This window comes from Homo sapiens, chromosome 2 (assembly GCF_000001405.40).
Source record: "Homo sapiens chromosome 2, GRCh38.p14 Primary Assembly".
In the NCBI taxonomy this organism is placed as follows: Eukaryota; Metazoa; Chordata; class Mammalia; order Primates; family Hominidae; genus Homo; species Homo sapiens.
In genome coordinates this window covers 89,821,105-89,844,305 of record NC_000002.12, presented here as the reverse complement: position 1 = coordinate 89,844,305, position 23,201 = coordinate 89,821,105, and the positions used below count along the sequence as shown (strand labels likewise).

At 40.0% G+C, this 23,201-nt stretch overlaps 1 gene, besides 18 other annotated features; it reads right to left on the bottom strand.

Annotated features, from left to right (window-relative positions):
• The window catches only part of IGK (immunoglobulin kappa locus), a 1,378,008-nt gene that overhangs the window by 391,063 nt on the left and 963,744 nt on the right, over nt 1–23,201 (bottom strand).
• Nucleotides 2,751–3,624: an enhancer, noted in NCBI's record as "OCT4-NANOG-H3K27ac-H3K4me1 hESC enhancer chr2:89879492-89880365 (GRCh37/hg19 assembly coordinates)". NCBI's record gives its function as "activates a minimal SCP1, AML or CMV promoter by ChIP-STARR-seq in naive and primed H9 embryonic stem cells {active_cell/tissue: H9 hESC(naive and primed)}" and the evidence as "EXISTENCE:reporter gene assay evidence [ECO:0000049][PMID:30033119]".
• Nucleotides 3,625–4,499: an enhancer, noted in NCBI's record as "OCT4-NANOG-H3K27ac-H3K4me1 hESC enhancer chr2:89878617-89879491 (GRCh37/hg19 assembly coordinates)". NCBI's record gives its function as "activates a minimal SCP1, AML or CMV promoter by ChIP-STARR-seq in naive and primed H9 embryonic stem cells {active_cell/tissue: H9 hESC(naive and primed)}" and the evidence as "EXISTENCE:reporter gene assay evidence [ECO:0000049][PMID:30033119]".
• Nucleotides 4,500–5,374: an enhancer, noted in NCBI's record as "OCT4-NANOG-H3K27ac-H3K4me1 hESC enhancer chr2:89877742-89878616 (GRCh37/hg19 assembly coordinates)". NCBI's record gives its function as "activates a minimal SCP1, AML or CMV promoter by ChIP-STARR-seq in naive and primed H9 embryonic stem cells {active_cell/tissue: H9 hESC(naive and primed)}" and the evidence as "EXISTENCE:reporter gene assay evidence [ECO:0000049][PMID:30033119]".
• Nucleotides 5,375–6,250: an enhancer, noted in NCBI's record as "OCT4-NANOG-H3K27ac-H3K4me1 hESC enhancer chr2:89876866-89877741 (GRCh37/hg19 assembly coordinates)". NCBI's record gives its function as "activates a minimal SCP1, AML or CMV promoter by ChIP-STARR-seq in naive and primed H9 embryonic stem cells {active_cell/tissue: H9 hESC(naive and primed)}" and the evidence as "EXISTENCE:reporter gene assay evidence [ECO:0000049][PMID:30033119]".
• Nucleotides 6,251–7,125: an enhancer, noted in NCBI's record as "OCT4-NANOG-H3K27ac-H3K4me1 hESC enhancer chr2:89875991-89876865 (GRCh37/hg19 assembly coordinates)". NCBI's record gives its function as "activates a minimal SCP1, AML or CMV promoter by ChIP-STARR-seq in naive and primed H9 embryonic stem cells {active_cell/tissue: H9 hESC(naive and primed)}" and the evidence as "EXISTENCE:reporter gene assay evidence [ECO:0000049][PMID:30033119]".
• Nucleotides 7,126–8,000: an enhancer, noted in NCBI's record as "OCT4-NANOG-H3K27ac-H3K4me1 hESC enhancer chr2:89875116-89875990 (GRCh37/hg19 assembly coordinates)". NCBI's record gives its function as "activates a minimal SCP1, AML or CMV promoter by ChIP-STARR-seq in naive and primed H9 embryonic stem cells {active_cell/tissue: H9 hESC(naive and primed)}" and the evidence as "EXISTENCE:reporter gene assay evidence [ECO:0000049][PMID:30033119]".
• Nucleotides 8,001–8,875: an enhancer, noted in NCBI's record as "OCT4-NANOG-H3K27ac-H3K4me1 hESC enhancer chr2:89874241-89875115 (GRCh37/hg19 assembly coordinates)". NCBI's record gives its function as "activates a minimal SCP1, AML or CMV promoter by ChIP-STARR-seq in naive H9 embryonic stem cells {active_cell/tissue: H9 hESC(naive)}" and the evidence as "EXISTENCE:reporter gene assay evidence [ECO:0000049][PMID:30033119]".
• Nucleotides 8,876–9,751: an enhancer, noted in NCBI's record as "OCT4-NANOG hESC enhancer chr2:89873365-89874240 (GRCh37/hg19 assembly coordinates)". NCBI's record gives its function as "activates a minimal SCP1, AML or CMV promoter by ChIP-STARR-seq in primed H9 embryonic stem cells {active_cell/tissue: H9 hESC(primed)}" and the evidence as "EXISTENCE:reporter gene assay evidence [ECO:0000049][PMID:30033119]".
• Nucleotides 9,752–10,625: an enhancer, noted in NCBI's record as "OCT4-NANOG-H3K27ac hESC enhancer chr2:89872491-89873364 (GRCh37/hg19 assembly coordinates)". NCBI's record gives its function as "activates a minimal SCP1, AML or CMV promoter by ChIP-STARR-seq in naive and primed H9 embryonic stem cells {active_cell/tissue: H9 hESC(naive and primed)}" and the evidence as "EXISTENCE:reporter gene assay evidence [ECO:0000049][PMID:30033119]".
• Nucleotides 10,626–11,501: an enhancer, noted in NCBI's record as "OCT4-NANOG-H3K27ac hESC enhancer chr2:89871615-89872490 (GRCh37/hg19 assembly coordinates)". NCBI's record gives its function as "activates a minimal SCP1, AML or CMV promoter by ChIP-STARR-seq in naive and primed H9 embryonic stem cells {active_cell/tissue: H9 hESC(naive and primed)}" and the evidence as "EXISTENCE:reporter gene assay evidence [ECO:0000049][PMID:30033119]".
• Nucleotides 11,502–12,375: an enhancer, noted in NCBI's record as "OCT4-NANOG-H3K27ac hESC enhancer chr2:89870741-89871614 (GRCh37/hg19 assembly coordinates)". NCBI's record gives its function as "activates a minimal SCP1, AML or CMV promoter by ChIP-STARR-seq in naive and primed H9 embryonic stem cells {active_cell/tissue: H9 hESC(naive and primed)}" and the evidence as "EXISTENCE:reporter gene assay evidence [ECO:0000049][PMID:30033119]".
• Nucleotides 12,376–13,251: an enhancer, noted in NCBI's record as "OCT4-NANOG-H3K27ac-H3K4me1 hESC enhancer chr2:89869865-89870740 (GRCh37/hg19 assembly coordinates)". NCBI's record gives its function as "activates a minimal SCP1, AML or CMV promoter by ChIP-STARR-seq in naive and primed H9 embryonic stem cells {active_cell/tissue: H9 hESC(naive and primed)}" and the evidence as "EXISTENCE:reporter gene assay evidence [ECO:0000049][PMID:30033119]".
• Nucleotides 14,126–15,001: an enhancer, noted in NCBI's record as "OCT4-NANOG-H3K27ac-H3K4me1 hESC enhancer chr2:89868115-89868990 (GRCh37/hg19 assembly coordinates)". NCBI's record gives its function as "activates a minimal SCP1, AML or CMV promoter by ChIP-STARR-seq in naive H9 embryonic stem cells {active_cell/tissue: H9 hESC(naive)}" and the evidence as "EXISTENCE:reporter gene assay evidence [ECO:0000049][PMID:30033119]".
• Nucleotides 15,002–15,877: an enhancer, noted in NCBI's record as "OCT4-NANOG-H3K27ac-H3K4me1 hESC enhancer chr2:89867239-89868114 (GRCh37/hg19 assembly coordinates)". NCBI's record gives its function as "activates a minimal SCP1, AML or CMV promoter by ChIP-STARR-seq in naive H9 embryonic stem cells {active_cell/tissue: H9 hESC(naive)}" and the evidence as "EXISTENCE:reporter gene assay evidence [ECO:0000049][PMID:30033119]".
• Nucleotides 15,878–16,753: an enhancer, noted in NCBI's record as "OCT4-NANOG-H3K27ac-H3K4me1 hESC enhancer chr2:89866363-89867238 (GRCh37/hg19 assembly coordinates)". NCBI's record gives its function as "activates a minimal SCP1, AML or CMV promoter by ChIP-STARR-seq in naive H9 embryonic stem cells {active_cell/tissue: H9 hESC(naive)}" and the evidence as "EXISTENCE:reporter gene assay evidence [ECO:0000049][PMID:30033119]".
• Nucleotides 17,626–18,176: an enhancer, noted in NCBI's record as "OCT4-NANOG-H3K27ac hESC enhancer chr2:89864940-89865490 (GRCh37/hg19 assembly coordinates)". NCBI's record gives its function as "activates a minimal SCP1, AML or CMV promoter by ChIP-STARR-seq in primed H9 embryonic stem cells {active_cell/tissue: H9 hESC(primed)}" and the evidence as "EXISTENCE:reporter gene assay evidence [ECO:0000049][PMID:30033119]".
• Nucleotides 21,488–22,197: an enhancer, noted in NCBI's record as "OCT4-NANOG hESC enhancer chr2:89860919-89861628 (GRCh37/hg19 assembly coordinates)". NCBI's record gives its function as "activates a minimal SCP1, AML or CMV promoter by ChIP-STARR-seq in primed H9 embryonic stem cells {active_cell/tissue: H9 hESC(primed)}" and the evidence as "EXISTENCE:reporter gene assay evidence [ECO:0000049][PMID:30033119]".
• Nucleotides 22,198–22,908: an enhancer, noted in NCBI's record as "OCT4-NANOG hESC enhancer chr2:89860208-89860918 (GRCh37/hg19 assembly coordinates)". NCBI's record gives its function as "activates a minimal SCP1, AML or CMV promoter by ChIP-STARR-seq in primed H9 embryonic stem cells {active_cell/tissue: H9 hESC(primed)}" and the evidence as "EXISTENCE:reporter gene assay evidence [ECO:0000049][PMID:30033119]".

The following is a 23,201-nucleotide window of genomic DNA, read 5'->3' as shown; positions in this document are numbered from 1 at the left end:
CACACTGAGAGGCTGAACTTACTTTGAGGTTTGTGTTTGGGGCCATCACACTGTTCAGGGACCCGGTGAGTGTCCTGCTCACAGGAGGCTGTGCAGCATTTCCAGGCTCCAAAGTGGTGTTTGTGATGGTGAAATCCCTAGAATTTTGGTTAGATGTGTTTTCTCACTTGTGAATACCTTCTGTAGACCTGTCATTCTGTGCTTTACAAACTCTTTTCTGTAAACTATCTATTCTTTGTTTTTGGACTTTTGGGTTAAGAATGTAATTTTAATTGTACTATCTTTAGTCTCCACACTGCTGATTGTGGAAGTGAAATCAACGTATTTTTGGTTGGATGTGTGTTCTCACTCATGAATATGTGTAGAAAAGTCCTCTGAAGACTTGTCTATCTTTGTATGTGTGACAGATTCTTTCTATATACCATGCCTTCATTATTTATTTATTTTTTGATTTTTCTCCTGGGGAATACTGTTTTAACTTCACTTACCATGGTGTGGATCATCCTAGAATAGACAATCATTTCTGATGGGTTTGATTATTTTAACCAGAAACAAAGGTATTTTGTCCTATGGGTGCAAACACTTCTATGTGTTGATTATATCACCTCATGAAATGGAACTGATTTGCCCATGATTCGTTCATAAATATTTCTGAAGAATTATTTTAAGTGACACCATGCAGGCCGGGCGCGGTGGCTCACGCCAGTAATCCCAGCACTTTGGGAGGTCAAGACGGGTGGATCATGAGGTCAGGAGATCGAGACCATGGTGAAACCCCGTCTCTACTAAAAATACAAAAAATTAGCCGGGCACAGTGGCGGACACCTGTAGTCCCAGCTACTCAGGAGGCTGAGGAAGGAGAATGGCTTGAACCCGGGAGGTGGAGTTTGCAGTGAGCCGAGATCACGCCACTGCACTCCAGCCTGGGTGACAGAGCAAGACTCAGTCTCAAGATAAGAGAAAACAAAACAAAACAAAACAAAACAAAATATATATATATATGCACACACACATATATATACACACATATATATACATATATATACATATATACATTTACTTATTTCAAAACCTTTTATTTTTTGTGATAATTTGGTACCCAAATTGTCATTTCTAAATGACCAGTAAGTTTCAAAAGGAATCTTCCTACTTTGGGGCAACGATGTAAGGGTTGAAAGGCTAAAGAACCACTGCAAGAACCTGGAGAGAAAACAATACAAAAGTTTATATTAATAACATCAGAGAACAGTAGAAGAAATGAGAACTAAGTGACCTAAAATTCCAAAGTGAAAAGCATCCCTTCTAGTTTAGCTGATGCTGGCCTGACTCTTTGTCCTCCTGCCATATCTGCCAAGTTTGCATGTGGACACAGTCTCTCTCTTGGCACAAGCAGAGGAACTCTCCTCAGAAAGGAGAATCAGATTGACCATCAGGAGTTGCACAGAGCAGCCTCTATACATGGCCCGTGTCCTCCGTAGGGCATTTGCTGAGGTCTGAATCATCAGGCAGGCTGTAGGAGATGGGCTAGAAGAACATAAAACTCCCACGGACTCAGCATGTTCTTCCAAATCCCCAAAGATGCACAGAGCATCCTGAATACATGTCTGAATCGTGCACATTGACCTCGAACCACACTGATCCCCTGCAAGTGTAGACCCTGCCTGGCCTTGTGCTCTGCATGTCAGTGGTTGTGACATCTCCAGACCGAACCAGTGGTCTCTGCTAAACCTCCTCTAGGGGCAGAATGAGTTTCAGAAGCTCTGCTTTGCTGTTGGGATTTGACTTAGGACTGAGTGACATTACCTCAGGTCTCCTTGCACAGGGACTTCACTAAATCTTTGGTGATTACACACCTAAAGCACTACTCACGACTTTACTTTCCTGTGAGACTTCCAGTGGCACAGGCTCCACCCAGGAAGCCAGGCAGCAGAGCCTTCAACTCTGTGGTTCTTCACAAGTATCATATTTGGCTCCTTTGTGGGTCCACATCAACTGCCATCACCACCACCAACCGCATCCCACCCACCATAACCCAAGGCAGTTTAGTTAAACAATAACTGACCTCTCCTGTATTCCCCGAATGCTCCCATTCCTGCAGTCTGTCCAGTGTTGAATTCTGCACTATGGGGAACAAAAAGGTTTTTATCATCCTTTACTTTCCCAGTGATTCATGGAAAATACTACATCTTTAGGATACTACATCTTTCAGGATTTGCTTTTTACTTTTAAAACCAACTTTTAGAATTTCAATTACTCCCTTTTTCTATCAGCGAGAGACAATTGTAATAAAATAATTTTACTATTAGGATCTTGCATCTGACATGAAATTACAAAATCTATTTGGCATTCACAACCAAGGTGTTACTAATTGTCCTCAGCCAGCTCTCCCTGAGGATAACTAGAGGAGAATGCCGTCTCTACTGTCTTACGGAGTGAGCAATAAGTGTTAAATAGAAAAACAGGGAAGTTGAAAAAGTAGGAAAGCACTTGGATTTGGATAAAACTGAACACAGATTTGCACCCATTATATCTCACACCTTTAACAGGGGCCAAGGCATATCAGCCTGGTGCAGTAGCAGAGGAAGTGGATTGAACTACATCAGCATCAGTGGGCTTCAGCCTGGGGTTCTGGGGAGTATTACTGATGCCTGACTGGGAGTGGTCAAATCACTGTGGCGGAGCCCCTGCACACACCCTCCTGTTGCCTATTCAGGGGCCCAAATTTTGAGGAACTTACTCATTTAGAGAGAAAAAGGGAAACTTCTCATTTGCCCTCTAAAGGTTTGCAGAAAATGAACGGACAAAACGCAAATTAATGGAAGGAAGAGGCAAAAAAAAAAAAAAATTCTGTAAAATGTAGGGGAAAAATCACAGGGTCTCACTCGGTTACCCAACATGAAGTGCAGTGGTGTGATCATGGCTCATTGAAAACTTGAATTCTCAAGCACGAGCGATTCTCCCACCTCAGCCTATGGAGTAGCTGGGATCACAGGGGCGTGCCACCATGCCCACATACATGCATATTTGCTGGAGGGGAGATGGAGACTCTGTCCTGGATGTGAGACAGGTGGCTGGCATCTGGGTAAGGATGACATTCCTTCATTGCTCAATGACATTCCCTCATTCCATTCCATCCCATTCCATTCCATTCCATTCCATTCCATTCCATTCCATTCCATTCCATTCCATTCCATTCCATTCGTGTTGATTCCATTCCATTCCATTCCATTCTATTGCATTCCATTCCATTTCATTCCATTCCGTTGCATTCCATTCCATTCTATTCCATTCCATTCCACTCGGGTTGATTCCATTCCATTGCATTTCCTTTCTTCCATTCCATTCCATTCCACTCGTGATGATAAAATTCCATTCCACTCCCTTCCATTCCATTGCATTCCATTCCTTTCAACTCGGGTTGATTCCATTCCATTCCATTCCATTTCCTTCTATTCCATTCCTTTCCACTCGGGTTGATTCCATACAATTCCACTCCTTTCCATTCCATTCCATTCCATTCCATTGCACACAGGTAGATTCCATTCCATTCCATTCCATTCCATTCCATTCCACTCGCTTTTATTAAATTCCTTTCCATTCCATTCTATTCCTTTCCTATCCAATCAATTCCATTCCATTCCATTCCACTCACGTTGATTCCATTCCATTCTGTTACATTTCATTCCTTTCCATTCCACTCGGGTTGATTCCATTCCATTCCGTTCCATTTCATTCCATTCCACTCTATTCCATTCCATTCCATTCCATTCCATTCCATTCCATTCCATTCCATTCCATTCCATTCTAGTCGGGTTGATTCCATTCCATTCCATTCCATTCTATTGCATTACATTCCATTCTATTCCATTCAATTCCATTGCATTCCATTCGTGTTGATTCCATTCCAATTCATTCTATTCCATTCCATTCCACTCGGGTTGATTGCATTCCATTCCATTCCATTCCATTCCGTTCCGTTCCATTCCATTCCATTCCATTCCATTCCATTTCGTTCCATTCCATTTCGTTCCGTTTCATTTCTTTCCATTCCCTTCCTATTGATTCCATTCCATTGCTTACAAATCATTTACTTTCCATTCCATTCATTCCATTCAATTACACTCGGGTTGATTCTATTCCATTCCATTCCATTCCGTTCCATTCCATTCCATTCCTTTCCATTCCACTCGCGGTTATCCAATTCCTTTCCATTCAATTCTATTCCATTCCTATCCATATCGTTCCATTCCTTTCAATTCTATTCCATTCCATTCCACTCACGTTGATTCCATTCCATTCAGTTCCATTTCATTCCATTCCATTCCATTCCATTCCATTCCATTCCCTTCCATTCCATTCCATTCCATTCCACTCAGGTTGATTCCATTGCATTCCACTCCATTCCGTTCCATTGCATTGCATTCCAATTGATTCGATTCCATTGCTTTCCATTCCACTGGGGTTGATTCCATTCCATTCCATTCCAATCCATTCCATTCCATTCCAGTCCATTCCATTCCAGTTGATTCCACTCGGGTTGATTCGATTCTGTTGAATTCCATTCCATTCCATTCCATTCCATTCCATTCCATTCCATTCCATTCCATTCCACTCTGGTTGATTCCATTCCTTTTCATTCCATTCCATTCCATTCCATTCGGGTTGTTTCCATTCCATGCCATTCCATTCTATACCATTCCCTTTCATTCCATTCCTTTCAATTCCATTCCATTCCATTCCATTCCATTCCATTCCATTCCATTCCATTCCATTCAATTAGATTCCATTCTATTCAATTCCATTCGATTCTATTCTACTGACGTTGATTCCTTTCCATTCCATTTCATTTCATTCCATTCCATTCTATTCCATTTCAAACCATTCCAATCCATTCCATTCCATTCCATTCCATTCAATTCCATTCCTTTCTATTGCATTCCACTCGTGTTCATTCCATTCCATTTCATTCCTTCCATTCCAATCCATTCCATTCCACTCGAGTTGATTCCATTCCTTTAAATTCCATTCCATTCTATTCCATTCAACTCCATTCCATTCCACTCGGGTTGATTCCATTCCTTTCATTCCATTTTATTCCATTCCATTCTATTGCAATCCATTTCCTTCCATTCCACTCGGTTTGATTCCACTCCATTCCATTCCATTCCATTCCATTCCATTCCTTTCCACTCCATTCTATTCCATTCCAATCGGGTTGATTCCATTCCATTTCATTCGTGTTGATTCCATTCCATTCCATTCCATTTTATTGCATTCCATTCCATTTCATTCCATTCCATTGCATTCCATTCCATTCCACTTGGGTTGATTCCATTCCATTGCATTCCCTTTCCTTCCTTTCCATTGCATTCCACTCGTGATGATAAAATTCCATTCCACTCCCTTCCATTCCGTTCCATTCCATTCCATTCAACTCGGTTTGATTCCATTCCATTCCATTCCATTTCCTTCTATTCCATTCCTTTCCACTCGGGTTGATTCCATACCATTCCACTACTTTCCATTCCATTCCATTCCATTCCATTCCATTCCACACAGGTAGATTCCATTCCATTCCATTCCATTCCATTCCATTCCATTCCATTCCATTCCAATCCATTCCATTCCAATCCATTCCATTCCATCCCATTCCATTCCATTCCATTCCATTCCATTCCATTCCATTCCATTCCATATCATTCCACTCGGGTTGATTCCATTCCATTCCATTTCATTCCATTCCATTCCGTTCTACTCAGGTTGATTAAATTCCATTCCATTCCATTCCATTCCAATAAATTCCATTCAATTCCATTCCATTCCACTCGTGTTGATGCAATTCCATTCCATTCCATTCCATTCCATTCCATTCCATTCCTTTCCTTTAAATTCCATTCAGGTTGATTCCATTCCATTCGAATCCATTCCATTGCACTCCATTCCATTCCCTTTCGTTCCACTCAGGTTGATTCCATTCCATTCCATTCCATTTCATTCCATTCCACTCGGGTTGTTTCCATTCCATTCCTTTCCCTTACATTCCTTTAAGTTTCATTCCATTCCATTCCATTCCACTCGGGTTGATTCCATTCCCTTCTATCCCATTTCATTCCATTCCATTCCATGCCATTCCATTCCTTTCCATTCCACTCGGTTTGATTCTATTCCATTCCATACCATTCCATTCCATTCCATTCCATTCCATTCCATTCCATTCCATTCCATTCCATTGCATTCCGTTCCGTTCCATTCCACACGGGTTGATTCCATTCCATTCCATTCAATTCCATTCCACTCCATTCCATTCTAATCTTGTTGATTCCATTCCATTCAATTCAATTCAATTCCTTTTCATTCCATTCTATCCTACTCTGTTTCATTGCGTTCCATTCCATTCTATTCCAATCCATTACATTACATTACATTCCACTCGGGTTGATTCCATTCCAATCCATTCCATTCCATTCCATTCCATTGCATTCCATTCCATTCCCATCGATTCCATTCCACTCATTTTGATACCATTCCAAAACATTAAATACGATTCCATTCCATTCCATTCCACTCGGGTTGATTACATTCCAATTCATTCCATTCCATTGCATTCCATTCCATTGCATACCATTCCATTCCAATCCATTCCATTCCATTCCATTCCATTCCACTCGGATTTTTTCAATTCAATTCCATTCAATTCCAATCCATTGTATTCCATTCTACACGGGTTGATTCCATTCAATTACATTCTATTCCGTTCCATTAAATTCCAAACCATTCCATTCGTGTTGATTGCATTCCATTCCATTCCATTCCATTCCATTCCATTCCATTCCATTCCATTGCATTCCATTCTTCTCCATTCCCTTCCATTCCATTCCATTCCATTTCATTACATTCCATTCCATTCGGGTCGATTCCTTTCCATTCCAATTCTTGCCATTGCTTTCCATTCCATTCCATTCCATTCCATTGCATTCCATTCTTCTCCATTCCCTTCCATTCCATTCCATTCCATTTCATTACATTCCATTCCATTCGGGTCGATTCCTTTCCATTCCAATTCTTGCCATTGCTTTCCATTCCATTCCATTCCATTCCATTCCATTCCATTCCATTCCATTCCACTCGGGTTGATTCCATTCCATTAAATTCCATTCCATTCCATTCCATTCCTTTCCCTTCCACTCCATTCCATTCCAATTTTGTTGATTCCATTCTATTGAATTCCATTCCATTCCATTCCATTCCATTGCATTCCATTCCATTGCAGTTGATTCCATTCCATTCCATTCTATTCCATTCCATTCCATTCCACTCAGGTTGATTTCATTCCTTTCCAATCCATTCCATTCTATTCCAGTCGTGTTGATTCCATTCCATTCCATTCTAATCCATTCCATTCCATTCCAATCCACTCAGATTTATTTCATTCCATTCCATTTCGTTCCATTCCATTCCATTCCATATCATTCCTTTCCACTAGGGTTGATTCCATTCCATTCCATTCCATTCCATTCCATTCCATTCCATTCCATTCCATTCCATTCCATTCCATTCCATTCCTTTTGATTCCAATCCTTTCCATTCTATTCCATTCCCTTCCATTCCATTCCATTGCATTCCAATCCATGTCATTTCGCTCGGATTGACTCCATTCCATTCCATTCCATTACATTCCTTTCCAATCCACTCGGGTTGATTCCATTCTGTTCCATTCCATTCCATTCCATTCCTTTCCATTCCACTAGGGTTGATTCCATTCCATTCCATTCAATTCCATTCCATTGCACTCGGGTTGATTCCATTCCATTCCATTCCATTCCATTCCATTCCACTCGGGTTGGTTCCAATCCATACAATTCCATTCCCTTCCATTCCAATCGGGTTGAATCCTTTCCATTCCATTCCATTCTATTCCATTCCATTCCATTCCATTCCATTCCATTGCATTCCATTCCACTTGGGTTCATTCCATTCCATTCCATTCCATTCCATTCCATTCCATTCCATTCCATTGCATTCCATTCCACTTGGGTTCATTCCATTCCATTCCATTCCATTCCATTCCCTTCCTTTCCATTCCGTTCCATTCCACTCGGGTTGATTTCTTTCCAGTCCATTTTATTCCATTCCATTCCAGTTGATTCCATTCCATTCCATTCCATTAAATTCCATTCTATTACTCTCGGGTTGATTTCATTCCATTCCATTCCATTCCATTCCATTCCATTCCATTCCATTCCACTCGGGTTGATTCCCTTCCCTTCGATTCCATTCCATTCCATTCCTTTCAATTCCATTCCTGTTGATTCCATTCCATTCCATTACATTCCTTTCCATTCCATTCCACTCCGTTTGACTCCATTCCATTCCATTTCATTCCATTCCGTTCTATTCCATTCCATTCCATTCCATTCCATTCCATTCCACTCGGGTTGATTCCATTTCATTACATTCCTTTCAATTCCATTCCATTACATTCCATTCCATTTCACTCGTGTTCATTCCATTCCATTCCATTCCATTCTACTCGGGTTGATTTCATTCCATTACATTTCATTCCATTCCATTCCAATCCAGTCCATTTCACTGAGAATGATACCATTCCATTCCAATCCCTTCCCTTCCATTCCATTCCATTCCAGTTGTTTTGATTCTATTCCATTCCATTCCATTCCATTCCACTCGTGTTGATTCCATTCCATTTCATTCCATTCCAGTTAATTCCATTACTTTCCTTTACATTTCATTACATTCCACTGGTGTTAATTCTATTTCATTCCATTCCATTCCATTCCATACCATTCCATTCCTTTCAGTTCCCTTCCATTGCATTCCATTCCATTCCATTCCACTCGAGTTGATTCCTTTCCTTTCCATTCCATTCTAATCCATTCCATTCCATTCCAATCCATTCCATTCAATTCCAGTCCATTCCATTGCATTCAATTCCATTCCTTTCATTTCCACTCGGGATGTTTCCATTCCATTCCATTCCATTCCATTCCATTCCATTCCATTTCATTCCACTCAGTTTGAATTGGAAAGGAATGGAATCATCACGAGTGGAATGCAATGGAATGCAATGGAATGGATTGGAATCGAATGGAATGAACCAGAGTGGAACGGAATGGAATGGAATGGAATGGAATGGTATCAAATCAACCCGAGTAGAATGGAATGGAATGGAATCAAATGGAAAGGAATCAACCCCAGTGGAATAGAATGGAATGGAATGGAATGGAATGGAATGGAATGGAATGGAATCAACCAGAGTGGAATTGTATGGAATGGAATGGAGTGGAATGGTATATAATGGAATGGAATGGAATGCAATAAACCCGAGAGGACTTTAATGGAAAGGAACGGAATGGAATGGAATAGAATGAAATGGAATCAACCCGAGTGGAATGCAATGCAATGCAAAGACATAGAATGGAATGGAAAGAAATGAAATGGAATGGAATCAACCAGGGTGGAATGGAATGGAATCTAATGGAATGGAATGGAATGGAAAGGAATCAACACGAGTGGAATGGAATTCAATGGAAAGGAATGGAATGGAAACAACCCGAGTGGAAAGGAATGGAGTGGAATGGAATGGAATGAAAAGGAATGGAATGGAATCAACGAGAGTGGAGTAGAATGGAATTGAAAAAAATGGAATGGAATCAACTGGAATGGAAGTTAATGTAATGTAATGTTATGTAATGTAATGGATTTGAATCAACACGAGTGGAATGGAATTGAATGGAATGGAATGGAATGGAATCAACGCCAGTGGAATGGAATGGAATGGAATTCAATGGAATGGAATCAAAGCGAGTGGAGTGGAATGGAATAGAATGTAATGGAAGGGAATGGAATCAACCCGAGTGGAATGGAATGGAATGGAATAGAATCAACGTGAGTGGAATACAATGGAATGCAATGTAATGTAAAGGAGTGGAATGGAGAGGAACGGAATGGAATGGAATCAACTGGAATGGCATGGAATGGAATGGAATGAAAAGGAATGGAATTGAATCAATCCGAGGGGAATGAAATGGAATGAAATGGAGTTGAATGGAATGGAATGGAATGGAATGGATTGGAATAAACCCGAGTGGAATGGTATGAAATCGAATGTAAAGGAAAGGAATGGAATGGAATGGAATGGAATGGAATGGAATGGAATGGAAAGGAATAAACCTGAATGGAATGGAATGGAATGGTATCAACCCTAGTGGAATGGAATGCAATGGAATGGAATGGAATGGAATGGAATGGAATGGAATCAACACGAGTGGAAAGGCATGCTATGGAATGGAATCAACCCCAGTGAAATAAAATGGAATAGAAAGGAATGGAATGGAATCAACACAATTGGAATGGAATGGAATGGAAAGGAATGGAATAGAATCAATACGAATGGAATGGAATGGAATGGAATGGAATGGAATGGAATGGAATAGAACGGAATGGAATAGAACGGAATGGAATGGAATAGAATCAATCTGAGTGGAATGGAATGGAATGGCCTGGAATGGAACGGAACTGAATTGAATGGAATTAACCCGAGTGGAATTGAAGGGAATGGAATAGAATCAATCTGAATGGAATGGAATGGAATGGAATGGAATCAACTGAAATGGAATGGAAGGGAATCGAATGGAATTGAATTAAATGGAATGGAATGAATAGTAATGGAATGGAAACAACCAGAGTGGAAAGGTATGGAATGGAATGGAATGGAATCAATCCTAGTGGAATGGAATGGAATGGAATGGAATGGAATGGAATGGAATGGAATGGAATGAAATGGAATGAAATGGAATGCAATCAACCCGAGTGGAAAGTATTCGAATGGAATGGAGTGGAATGGAATGAAATGGAATGGAATCAATCTGAGTGGAATGGAATGGAATGGAATGGAATGGAATGGAATGGAATGGAACGGAGTTGAATGGAATGGAATGGAATCAACACGAGTGGAATGGAATGGAATGGAATGGAATGGAATGCAATGGAATGGAATCAACAGGAATGGAATGGAATGGAATGGAAAGAAGCGGAATGGAACGGAATGGAATGGAATCAACCGGAGTTGAATGGAATGGAGTGGCATGGAATGGAATGGAATTGAATTGAATCAACCCGAGTGGAATGGAATGGAAGGGAATGGAAAGGAATGGCATCAACCCGAGTGGAAAAGAATAGAATGGAATGGAATCAATCCGAGTGGAATGGAATCAATGGAATGAAATGGAATGTTATGGAATTGTGTGGAATTAACACGAGTCGAATGGAATGGAATGGAATGGAAAGGAATAGAAGGGACTGGAATGAAATCAATCAGTGTGGAGTGGAATGGAATGGAATGGAAAGAAATGGAATGGAACCAACCCGAATGAAATGGAATGGAATGGAATGGAATGGAATGGAATCAACCCGAGTGGAATGAAATGGAAAAGAATGGATAGGAATGGAATTGAATCAACCCGAGAGGAATGGAATGGAATGGAATGGAATGGAATAGAATTGAATGGGATGGAATGGAATCAAAACGTGTGGAATGGAATGTAATTGTATGGAATTTAATGGAACGGAATGGAATGCAATGGAATGGTGTGAACCAGAATGGAATGGAATTGAATGAAATGGAAAGGAATGGAATCAACCCGAGTGGAATGGAATGAATGGAATGGAATTGAATGGAATGGAATGGAATCAACCAGAGTGGAATGGAATGGAATGGAATGGAATGGATTGGAATGGAATATACCGGAGTGGAATAGAATGGAATTTACCGAACGGAATGGAATGGAATGAAATGGAATGGAATCAAGCCGAGTGGAATGGAATGGAATGGAATGGAAAGAATACAATGGAATGAAATGGAATGGAATCAACCCGAGTGGAATGGAATGGAATGGAATGGAATGGAATGGAATGGAATGGAATCATCCCGAGGGGAATGGACTGGAATGGAATGGAAAGGAATGGAATCAACGCGAATGGAATGGAATGGAATAGAATGGAATGGAATGGAATGGAAAAAACTGGAATGGTATGAAATGGAATGGAATGGAATGGAATCAACACGAGTAGAATGGTAAGGAATGGAATGGAATGAAATGGAATGGAATGGAATGGAATGGAATGGAATGGAATCAAACCGAGTTGAATGGAATGGAATAGATTGGAATGGAATGGAAAGGATTAGAATCATCCCGAGTGGAATGAAATGGAATGGAATGGAATGGAATGGAATCAACTGGAATGGAAGTTTATGGAATGGAATGCAACAGAATGGAACGGAAGGTAATCAAACCGATTGGGATGGTACGGAATGGTATGTAATGCAATCCAATGGAATGGAAAAACGCGAGTGGAATGTAATGTAATGTAATGTAATGGAATGGAATGGAATGGAATCAACCCAAGTGAATGGAATGGAATGGAATGGAATGGAATGGAATGGAATGGAATAGAATGCAATCAACCCGAGTGGCATGGAGTAGAATGGAATGGCACGGAATGGATTGGAATGGAATGGAATGGAATCAACTGAAATGGAATGGAATGGTTTGGAATGGAACGGAATGGAATGGAATCAACACGAGGGGTATGGAATGGAATGGAATGGAAACAAATGGAATTGAATCAACTAGAATGCAATGGAATGGAATGGAATGGAATGGAATGGAATGGAATGGAATGGAATGAACCCGAGTGGAATGGAATGGAAAGGATTGGAATGGAATGAAATTAAGTCAACCCGAGAGGGACGGAATGAATTGGAATGGAATGGAACGAAATGGAACCGAATGCAATGGATTCAACCTGAGTGGAATGGAATGGAATGGATTGGAGTGGAATGGAATGGAATGGAATCAACCCGAGTGGAATGGAATGGAATGAAATGAGATGGAATGGAATGGAATGGAATGGAATGAACCCGAGTGGAATGGAATGGACTTGAATGGAATGTAATGGAATGGAATCGACACGAGTTTAATGGAATGGAATGGAAAGGAATGGAATGGAAAGGAATGGAATCAACCCGAGTGAAAAGGAATGGAATGGATTGGAATGGAATGAAATGGAATGGAATGGAATCAACCCTAGTGGAATGCAATGGAATGGAATGGAATGGAATGGAATGAAATGAAATCAAACCGAGTGGAATGGAATGGAACGGAATGGAATGGAGTGGAATGGAATGGAATGGAATGAAATGGAATGGAATGGAATGGAATCAACCCGAGTGGAACGGAATGGAATGGAGTGGAATGGAATGGAATGGAATGGAATGGAATGGAATCAAACCGAGTGGAATGGAATGGAATGGAATGGAATGGAATGGAATGGAATGGAATGGAATGGAATGGAGTTGAATGTAATGGAATCCATCCGAGTGGAATGGAATGAAATGGAATGGAATGCAATGAAATCGAATGGAATGGAGGGGAATGAAAAGGAATGGAACCAATACGAGTGGAAAGGAATGGAATAGAATGGAATGGAATGGAATAGAATTAACGCGAGTGGAATGGAACGCAATGGAATGGAATGGAAAGGAATGGAATCAACTGGAGTGGAATGCACTGGAATGGAAAGGAATGGAATTGAATGGAATATAATGGAATGGAATGGAATGGAATCAACCAGAGTGGAATGGAATGGAATGAAATGGAATGGAATAGAAACAACCCATGTGGAATGCAATGGAATGCAATGGAATGGAAATGAATCAACCCGAGTGGAATGTAATGTAATGTAATGGAATGGAATGGAATCAACTCGAGTGGAATGGAATGGAATGGAATGAAATGGAAAGGAATCAACTCTAGTGGAATAGAATGGAAAGCAATGGAATGGAATGGAATGGAATCAACGTGAGTGGAATGGAATTGAAAGGAATGGAATGCAATGGAATGGAATGGAATGGAATGGAAGGCAATGGAATGAAATGGAAAGAAATGGAATCAACACGAGTGTAATGGAAGGCAATGGAATGAAATGGAAAGAAATGGAATCAACACGAGTGTAATGGAATGCAATGGAACAGAGTAGAAACAACTCGAGTGGAATGGAATGGAATGGAATGGAATTCAATGGAATGGAACTGAATGGAATCAACCTGAGAGTAATGGCCTGGAATGGAAAGGAATGGAAAGGAAAGGAATCAAACCGATTGCAATGGAATGGAAATGAATGGATTGCAATAGAATTGAATCAACCCGAGTGGAATGGAATGGAATGAAATGGAATGGAATCAACCCGATTGGAATGGAAGGGAATGGAATGGAATGGAACAGAATGGAATCAACCCGAGTGGAATGGAAGGGAATGGAATGGAATGGAACAGAATGGAATCAACCCGAGTGGAATGGAATGGAATTGAATTGGATGGAATGGAATATAATGGAATGGAATGGAATGGAATCAACCCAAGTTGAACGGAATTGAATGGAATAGAATGGAACAGAATGGAATCGACCCGAGTGGAATGAAATGGAATGGAATCGAATAGAATGGAATGGAATGGAATGGAATGCAATGGAATCAACCCGTGTGAAATGGAATGGAATGGAATGGAATAGAATGGAATGGAATCAACCCAAGCGAAATGGAATGAAATGGAATGGAATGGAATGGAATGGAATCCAACCGAGTGGAATGGAATGGAATAGAATGGAATTGAATATAATGGAATCGAATGTAATCAACACGAGTGGAATAGAGTGGAATGGAATGGATTGGAATAGAATGGAATGGAATGGCATGGAATGGAATAGAATCAACCTGAGTGGAATGGAATGGAATGGAATGGAATGGAATGGAATGGAATGGAATGGAATCAACACGAATGGAATGGCATGGAATGGAATGGAATCAGCTGGAATAGAATGCAATGGACTGGAATGGAATGGAATGGAATGAAATGGAACGGAATGGAATGGAATCAACCCGAGTGGAATGGAATGGAATGGAATTGAGTTCAGTGGAATGGAATCAACCCGAGTGGAATGGAATGGAATAGAATGGAATGGAATGGAATGGAATGGAATGGAATGGAATGGAATCAACCTGATTGGAATGGAATGGAATGGAATGGAATGGAATCAACCCGAGTGGAATGGAAAGGAATTGAATGGAATGAAATGGAATGGAATGGAATAGAATTTAAAGGAATGAAATCAACTGGAATGTAATGGAATGGACTGGAATTGAGTGGAATCATCACGACTGGAATGCAATAGAATGGAATGGAATGGAATGGAATGGAATTGAATGGAATCAACTGTAAAGGAATGGAATGGAATGCAATATAATGGAATGGCATGGAATGGAATGGAATGGAATTGAATGGAATCAACACGCATGGAATGGAAAGGAATGGATTGGCATTTAAGGGATTCAACTTGAATGGAATGGAATGGAATGGAATCAACCCGAGAGGAATGGAATGAAATTGAATGGAATTGAATGGAATTGAATCAACCTGTGTGGAATGGAATGGAAGGGAATGGAATCGTATGGAATGGAATATAATGCAGTGAATTGTAATCAACCCGAGTGGAATAGAGTGGAATGGAAAGGAATGAAATGGAATGGAATGGAATGGAATGGAATGGAATGGAATGGAATGGAATCAAACCTAGTGGAATGGAATGGAATGGAATGGAATGGAATGGAATGGAATGGAATGGAATCAACTGGAATGGAATGGAATGGAATGCAATGCAACTGAATGGAATGGGATGGAATCAACCCGAGTGGAATGGAATGGAATGGAATGCAGTGGAATGGAATGGAATGGAAAGGAATGGAATGGAATGGATTGGAATCAACCCGGGTGGAATGGAATGGAATGGAATGGATTAGAATGGAATGGAATGGAAGGGAAGGGAAAGGAATGGAATGGAATGGAATTAACCTGAGTGGAATGGAATGGAAGTGAATGGAATTGAGTCAACCCGAGTGGAATGGAATGGAATGGAATGGAATGGAATGGATTTGAATGAAATCAACCCAAGTGGAATGGAATGGAATGGAATCAACCCTAGTGGAATGGAATGGAATGGAATGGAATGGAAAGGAATCAACTGGAATGGAATCAAATGGAATGCAATGCCATTGAATGGAATGGAATGGAAGCAACAAGAGTGGAATGGAATGGAATGGAATAGAATGAATTGGAATTGAATTCAATCAACCCGAGTGGAATGGAATGGAATGGATTGGAATGGAATGGAATGGAATGGAATCAACATGAATGGAATGGAATGGAATGGAAGGGAATGCAATGGAATGGAATGGAATGGAATGGAATCAACCCGAGTGGAATGGAATGGAATGGAATATAATGGAGTGGAATCAATCAGAGTGGAATGGAATGGCATGGAATGGAATGGAATGGAATGGAATCAAGTAGAGTGGAATGGAATGGAATGGAATGAAATGGAATGGAATGGAATCAAATGGAATGCAGTTGAATTGAATTGGATGGAATGAAACGGACTCGAATCTAACAGAATGGAATAGAACGGACTCGAATGGAATGGAATGTAATTGAATATATTCAAATGGAGTGTAATGGAAGGGATAGTAATAGAATGGAAAAGAATGGAAAGGCAAGACTGGAATGGAGTGGAATGGCATGGATTGGAATGGCATGGACTCGAATGGGATGTAATGGAATGGAACAGACTCGAATGGAAAGGACTGGAATGGACAAGAATGTAATGCAATGGAATGGAATGGACTCGAATGGGAAGGAATGTATAGAAATGGACTCGAGTGGAATGGAATGGAGTGGAAAGGAATGGCCTCGAATGGAACGGAAATGATTGGACCCGAAAGGAATGTAAATGAATGGAATGGAAGGGAATGGAATGGAATCAATGGGAATGCATTTGAATTGATTGGACCCGAACGCAATGGAAAGGAATGGAATGGAATGGAAATGTATGAAATGAAATATACTCTACTGGAATGGAGTGGAACAGAATGGACTCAAATGAATTGGAATGTATTTGAATGAAATGGAACGTAAAGGAGTCGAGTCGAGTGGAATGGAATGGAACTGAATTTGATGGACACGAATGAGATTGAATGCAGTGGAATGGTCTCGAGTGGAATGGAATGGAATGGAATAGACACGAATGGAATGGAATGTAATTGTATGCAATGGAATGGAATGAAATGGAATGTAATGGAATGGTAAGGAATGGAATAGAATGGAATGGATTCGAATTGAATGCAGTTGATGAGAATGGACCCGAAAGGAATGGAACGGAATGGAACGGAATGGAATGGACTGGAATGGAATGGAAAGGAATGGAATGGAGTGGAATGGAAAGGAACGGAATGGAGTGGAATGGAATGGAACGGAAGGGAAGGGAAAGGAATGGAAAGGAATGGAATCAACCCGAGTGGAATGGAATGGAAGTGAATGGAATTGAGTCAACCCGAGTGGAAAGGAATGGAATGGAATGGAATGGAATTGAATTGAATCAACCCGAGTGGAATGGAATGGAATGGAGTGGAATCAACCCTAGTGGAATGGAATGGAATGGAATGAAACGGAATCAACTGGAATGGAATCGAATGGAATGCAATGCAATTGAATGGAATGGAATGGAATCAACAAGAGTGGAATGGAATGGAATGGAATGGAATGGAATGGAATGGAATGGAATAAAATGAAATGGAATCGAATTCAATCAACCCGAGTGGAATTGAATGGAATGGATTGGAGTGGAATGGAATCAAGCAGAGTGGAATGGAATGGAATGGAATGGAATGGAATGGAATGGAATGGAATGGAATGGAATGCAATGGAATGGAAAGGAATGGAATGGAATGCAATGGAATGGAATGGATTGGAATCAACCCGAGTGGAATGGAATGGAATGGAATAGACACGAATGGAATGGAATGGAATTGAATGCAATGGAATGGAATGAAATGGAATGTAATGGAATGGTAAGGAATGGAATAGAACGGAATGGATTCGAATTGAATGCAGTTGATGAGAATGGACCCGAAAGGAATGGAATGGAATGGAACGGAATGGAATGGACTGGAATGGAATGGAAAGGAATGGAATGGAGTTGAATGGAAAGGAATGGAATGGAGTGGAATGGAATGGAAAGGATTTGAATGGATTGCATTAGAATGGAAAGGAATGGAATGGGATGGAATGGAATGAAATGGAATCGAATCGAATGGAATGGAAAAAAATGAATTCAAATGAAATGGAATGGAAACGTATGGAATGGAATGCAATAGAAACCACCCAAGTGGAATAGAATGGAATTGATTGGAATGGAATCAAATGAAATGGAATGCAGTGGAATGAACTCGAATGGCTTACAGTGGAAAGGAACAAAATTGAATGGAATGGAATGGAATGCAATGGACTCGAATGGAAAGAGTTGAATGGATCCGAATGGAATGGAATAAAAAGGAATCGAATGGAGAGGAATGAACTGGAATAGAATGGAATGGAATCGACACGATTGGAATGGAATATAATGGTCTGAAATATAATTGAAAGGAATGAAATGGAATGGAATGGAATGGATTGGAATGGAATGACATGGAATGGAATAGAATGGAAGGCAATGGAATGGACTCAAATGAAATTAAATGGAATGGAGTCTAATGGAATAGAATGGACTCCAGTGGAATGGTTTGGTATTCAATGTACTCGAATGGAATGAAGAAGAATGGATTCAAATGGACTGGAAAGGAATGGAATGAAACGGACTCGAATGGAATAGAATAGATTGGAAAGTACTTGAATGGAATAGAATGGAATGGATTCGAATGGTATGGAATGGAAATAAGTCTCCACGAAATGAATGGAATAGAATAGAATGGAATGGAATGGAATGGACTGGAACGGAATTGAATGGAATGAAATCCAATGGAATGGAATGGAAATGAATCGAGTGGAGCAGAATGGAATGGACTCGAATTGGATGGAATGGAATGTAGTGGACTCGAATGGAATGGAATGGACCTGAATGGAATGGAATGGAATGCAATGGAAAGGAATGGAATGGAATGGACTCTAGTGGAATGGAATGGAAGGGAATCGAATGGGATGGAATGCAATGTAGTGGACTCGAATTAAATGGAATGGAATGGACCTGAATGGAATGCAATGGAATGGAATGGACTCGTATGTAATGGAATGGAATGGAAAGGAAAGGAATGGACTCTAATCAGTAGGAATGCAATGGAATGGATTCGAAAGGATAGGAATGGAATGGACCCGAATCGAATGGAATGGAATGAAATGGAATGGAATGGAATGGAAATGAATGGAATGGAAAGGAATGGACTTGAGTGGAATGGAAAGGAATGGTCTCGAATGGAATGGATGTAATGGAATGGACTCAAATGGAATGGAGAGTAATGGACCAGGATATAATTTTAATGGAATGAAATGGAATGGACTCTAATTTAATGAAATTTAATGGAACCACGTGGAAACGAATGTACTCGAATGGAACGGAATGGTGTGGAATGGAATGGAAACTAAATGAACTGAACGGAATGAAATGGAATTTAATGGAATGGTATGTAATGGAATCGAATGTAATGGAATGGTTTGGAATGGAATGGACTCGAAAGGGATGGAATGAAATGGATTGTACTGGAATGGAATGGAATGGAATCCACCCGAATGGAATAGAATGGAATGGACTCTAATGGAATGGAATTTAATCCACCCGAATGGAATGGAACGGAATGGAATTGAAAGGTATGGAATGGAATGGACTTCAATGGAATATAATGGATTGGAATTGACTTGAAGGGAACAGAATGGAAAGGATTCGAGTGGTCTTGAAAGGAATGGAATGGAATGTACTTGAATGGAATGGAATGGAAATGAATGGAATGGAATGAAATGGAATGGAATTGACATGAATTTAATACAATGAAATTTAAAGGGACGGACCTTAATGGAATGGAGTGGAATGGACTCGAATGAAATAGAATGGAATAGACTCGAATGGAATGCAATGCAATGGAATGGACTCAAATGGAATGGACACGAATGGAATTGAATGGAATAGAAAGGAATGGAAAGGAATGCAATGGAATGGACTTGAAAGGAATGGAATGGACATGAATGGAACGAAATGGAATGTAATTGACTCGAATGGAATATAATGGAATTTAGTGGAATGGACTCGAATGGAATTTAATGGAATTTAATGGAACGGACTCTAATGGAATGGAATGGAATGGCCTGAAATGGAATAGTATTGAATAGACTCGAACGAAATGGAATGCAATGGAATGTACTCGAATGGAATGGAATGGAATGCACTCGAGTGTAATGTAATGAAATTGAGTAGTCTTGAAAGCAGTGGGATGAAATGCAATGTAATGGAATCGAATGGAATGGAATGGAGTCCAATGGAAAGGAAATAAATTGAATGGAATCAAAAGCAGTGAGATGGAATGCAATGGAATGGACTCTAATGGAATGGAACGGAATGGATTCGAATGGAATGGAATGCAATGGAATGGACTCAAATGGAATAGAAGAATGGAATTCACTCGAATGGAATTGAATGGAATGGACTCATGGAATGGAATGGAATGGAATGGAATGGAATGGAATGGAATGGGATGGACACTGATGGAATGGAATGGAATGAAATTTGTTCAAATGGAATTGAAATGAATGGAATAGAAACGAATGGACTGGAATGGAATAGAATGGACTGGAGTGGAATTGCTTTGAATGGAATGGATTCAAATGTAATTGAATGGAATGGACTCAAAAGGAATACCATTGAATGGAATGAACTCGAATGGAATGGAATGATATTCAATGTACTCGAATGGAATATAATGTACGGGAATGGAATGAACTCGATTGGAATGGAATGCAATGGAATGAAATGTGCACAAATGGTTTGGAATGAAATGGAGTGGACACGAATGGAATGGACATGAACGGAACGAAATGAAATGTAATGGACTCGAATGGAATACAATGGTATTTAATGGAACGGACTTTAATGGATTTGAATGGAATGGATTCGAATGGAATAGAACGTAAGAGACTCGAATGGAATGTAATGCAATGGAATGGACTCTAGTGGAATATAATGGACTCGAATGGAATGGAATGCAATTGATTGGACTCAAAAGCAGTGGGATAGAATGAATGGAATGGACTTGAATAGAATGGAAAGGAATGTAGTCGAATGGAAAGGAAATAAATTGAATGGAAACAAAAGCAATGGGATGGAATGCAATGGAATGGAATGGAATGGAATGGAATGGACTCTAATTGAATAGAATTGAATTGACTTGATTGGAAATGAATGGAAGGTACACCAATGGAAGGGAATGGAATGTTCTCAAATGGAATGCAATGAATTTTGCTGAAATGAAATGGATTGGAATGGAATCGAAACAAAGGGAATGGAATGGAGTAGAATGTACTGCAGTGGAATTGGTTTGAATGGAATGGACTCAAATGTAATGGAACGGAATGGACTCAAATGGAATACCATTGAATGAAGGGACTCTAATGGAATGGAATGGCATTGAATGGACTCGACCGGAATGGAATGTAATGGAATGGAATTAACTCTACTGGAATGGAATTCAATGGAATGAAATGTGCTCGAATGGATTGGAATTAAATGGAATGGACTCGAATGGTATGGAATAGAATGGAATGGAATGGACTCGAATGGAATGGAATGGAATGGAATGGAATGGAATGGAATGGAATTGAATGGAAAGGAATGAACTGGAATGGAATGGAATGGAATGGAATGGAATGGACTTGAATGGAAGAGAATCGAAGGGAATGGAAAGGACTCGAATGGAAGAGAATGGAAGGGAATGGAAAGGACTCGAATGGAACGGAATGGACTCGAATTTAATGGAATGGAATGGAATGGAGTCAAACGGAATGGAATGAAATGGACTCAAGTTGAATGGAAAGGAATGGACTTGAATGACATAGAATGGAAAGGAATGGAATGGACTCGAATAAAGTGGAATGGAATGGAGTCAAAAAGAATGCAATGGATTTGAGTGGAATATAATGGAATGGACTCGAATGGAATGGAGTGGAATGGATTCGAATGGAATGGAATGCAATTGACCAGAATGGAATAGAAAGGAATGGACTCTAACGGAATGGAATTGAATGGAATATACTGAAATGTAATTGAATGGAATGGACTCCAATGGAATGAAACGAATTGAATGGAATCAAATAGAATGAAATTAAATTGAATGGAATAAACTCAAATGCAATGGAATTGAATGGAATGAAGTGGACTCAAAAGGAACGGAATGACATGGAATTGACTGTAATGAAATGGAAAGTAATTCAATGGACTCAAATGGAATGGAATGGAAGGGAATGGAATCGAATGTAATAGAAGGGAACGGAAAGTACTCAAATAGAATGGGATAGAATGGAATGGAATGGAATGGCAAAGAATGGAATGGAATGGAATGGAATGGAATGGAATAGAATGCAATGGAATGGACTCAAATGGGATGGAATGGAATGGAACAGTCTCGAATGGAAAGGAATAGAATGGACAAGAATCTAATGGAACAGAAAGGAATGGAATGGACTCGAATTGAATGGAATGGAATTAAATGGAATGGAATGGAATGAATTGGAATGGAATGGAATTAATTGGAATGGAATTGAATGGAAAGGTATGGATTGGAATGGAATGGAATGGATTGGACTTGAATGGAAGAGAATCGAAGGGAATGGAAAGGACTCGAATGGAAGAGAATGGAAGGGAATGGAAAGGACTCGAATGGAATGGAATAGACTCGAATTTAATGGAATGGAATGGAATGGGGTCAAACGGAATGGAATGAAATGGACTCATGTTGAATGGAAAGGAATGGACTTGAATGACATAGAATGGAAAGGAATGGAATGGACTCGAATAAAGTGGAATGGAATGGAGTCGAAAGGAATGCAATGGATTTGAGTGGAATATAAAGGAATGGACTCGAATGTAATGGAGTGGAATCGATTCGAATGGAATGGAATGCAATTGACCAGAATGGAATAGAAAGGAATGGACTCTAATGGAATGGAATTGAATGGACGCGAATGGTATTGAATGGAATATACTGAAATGTAATTGAATGGAATGGACTCCAATGGAATGAAAGGAATTGAATGGAAT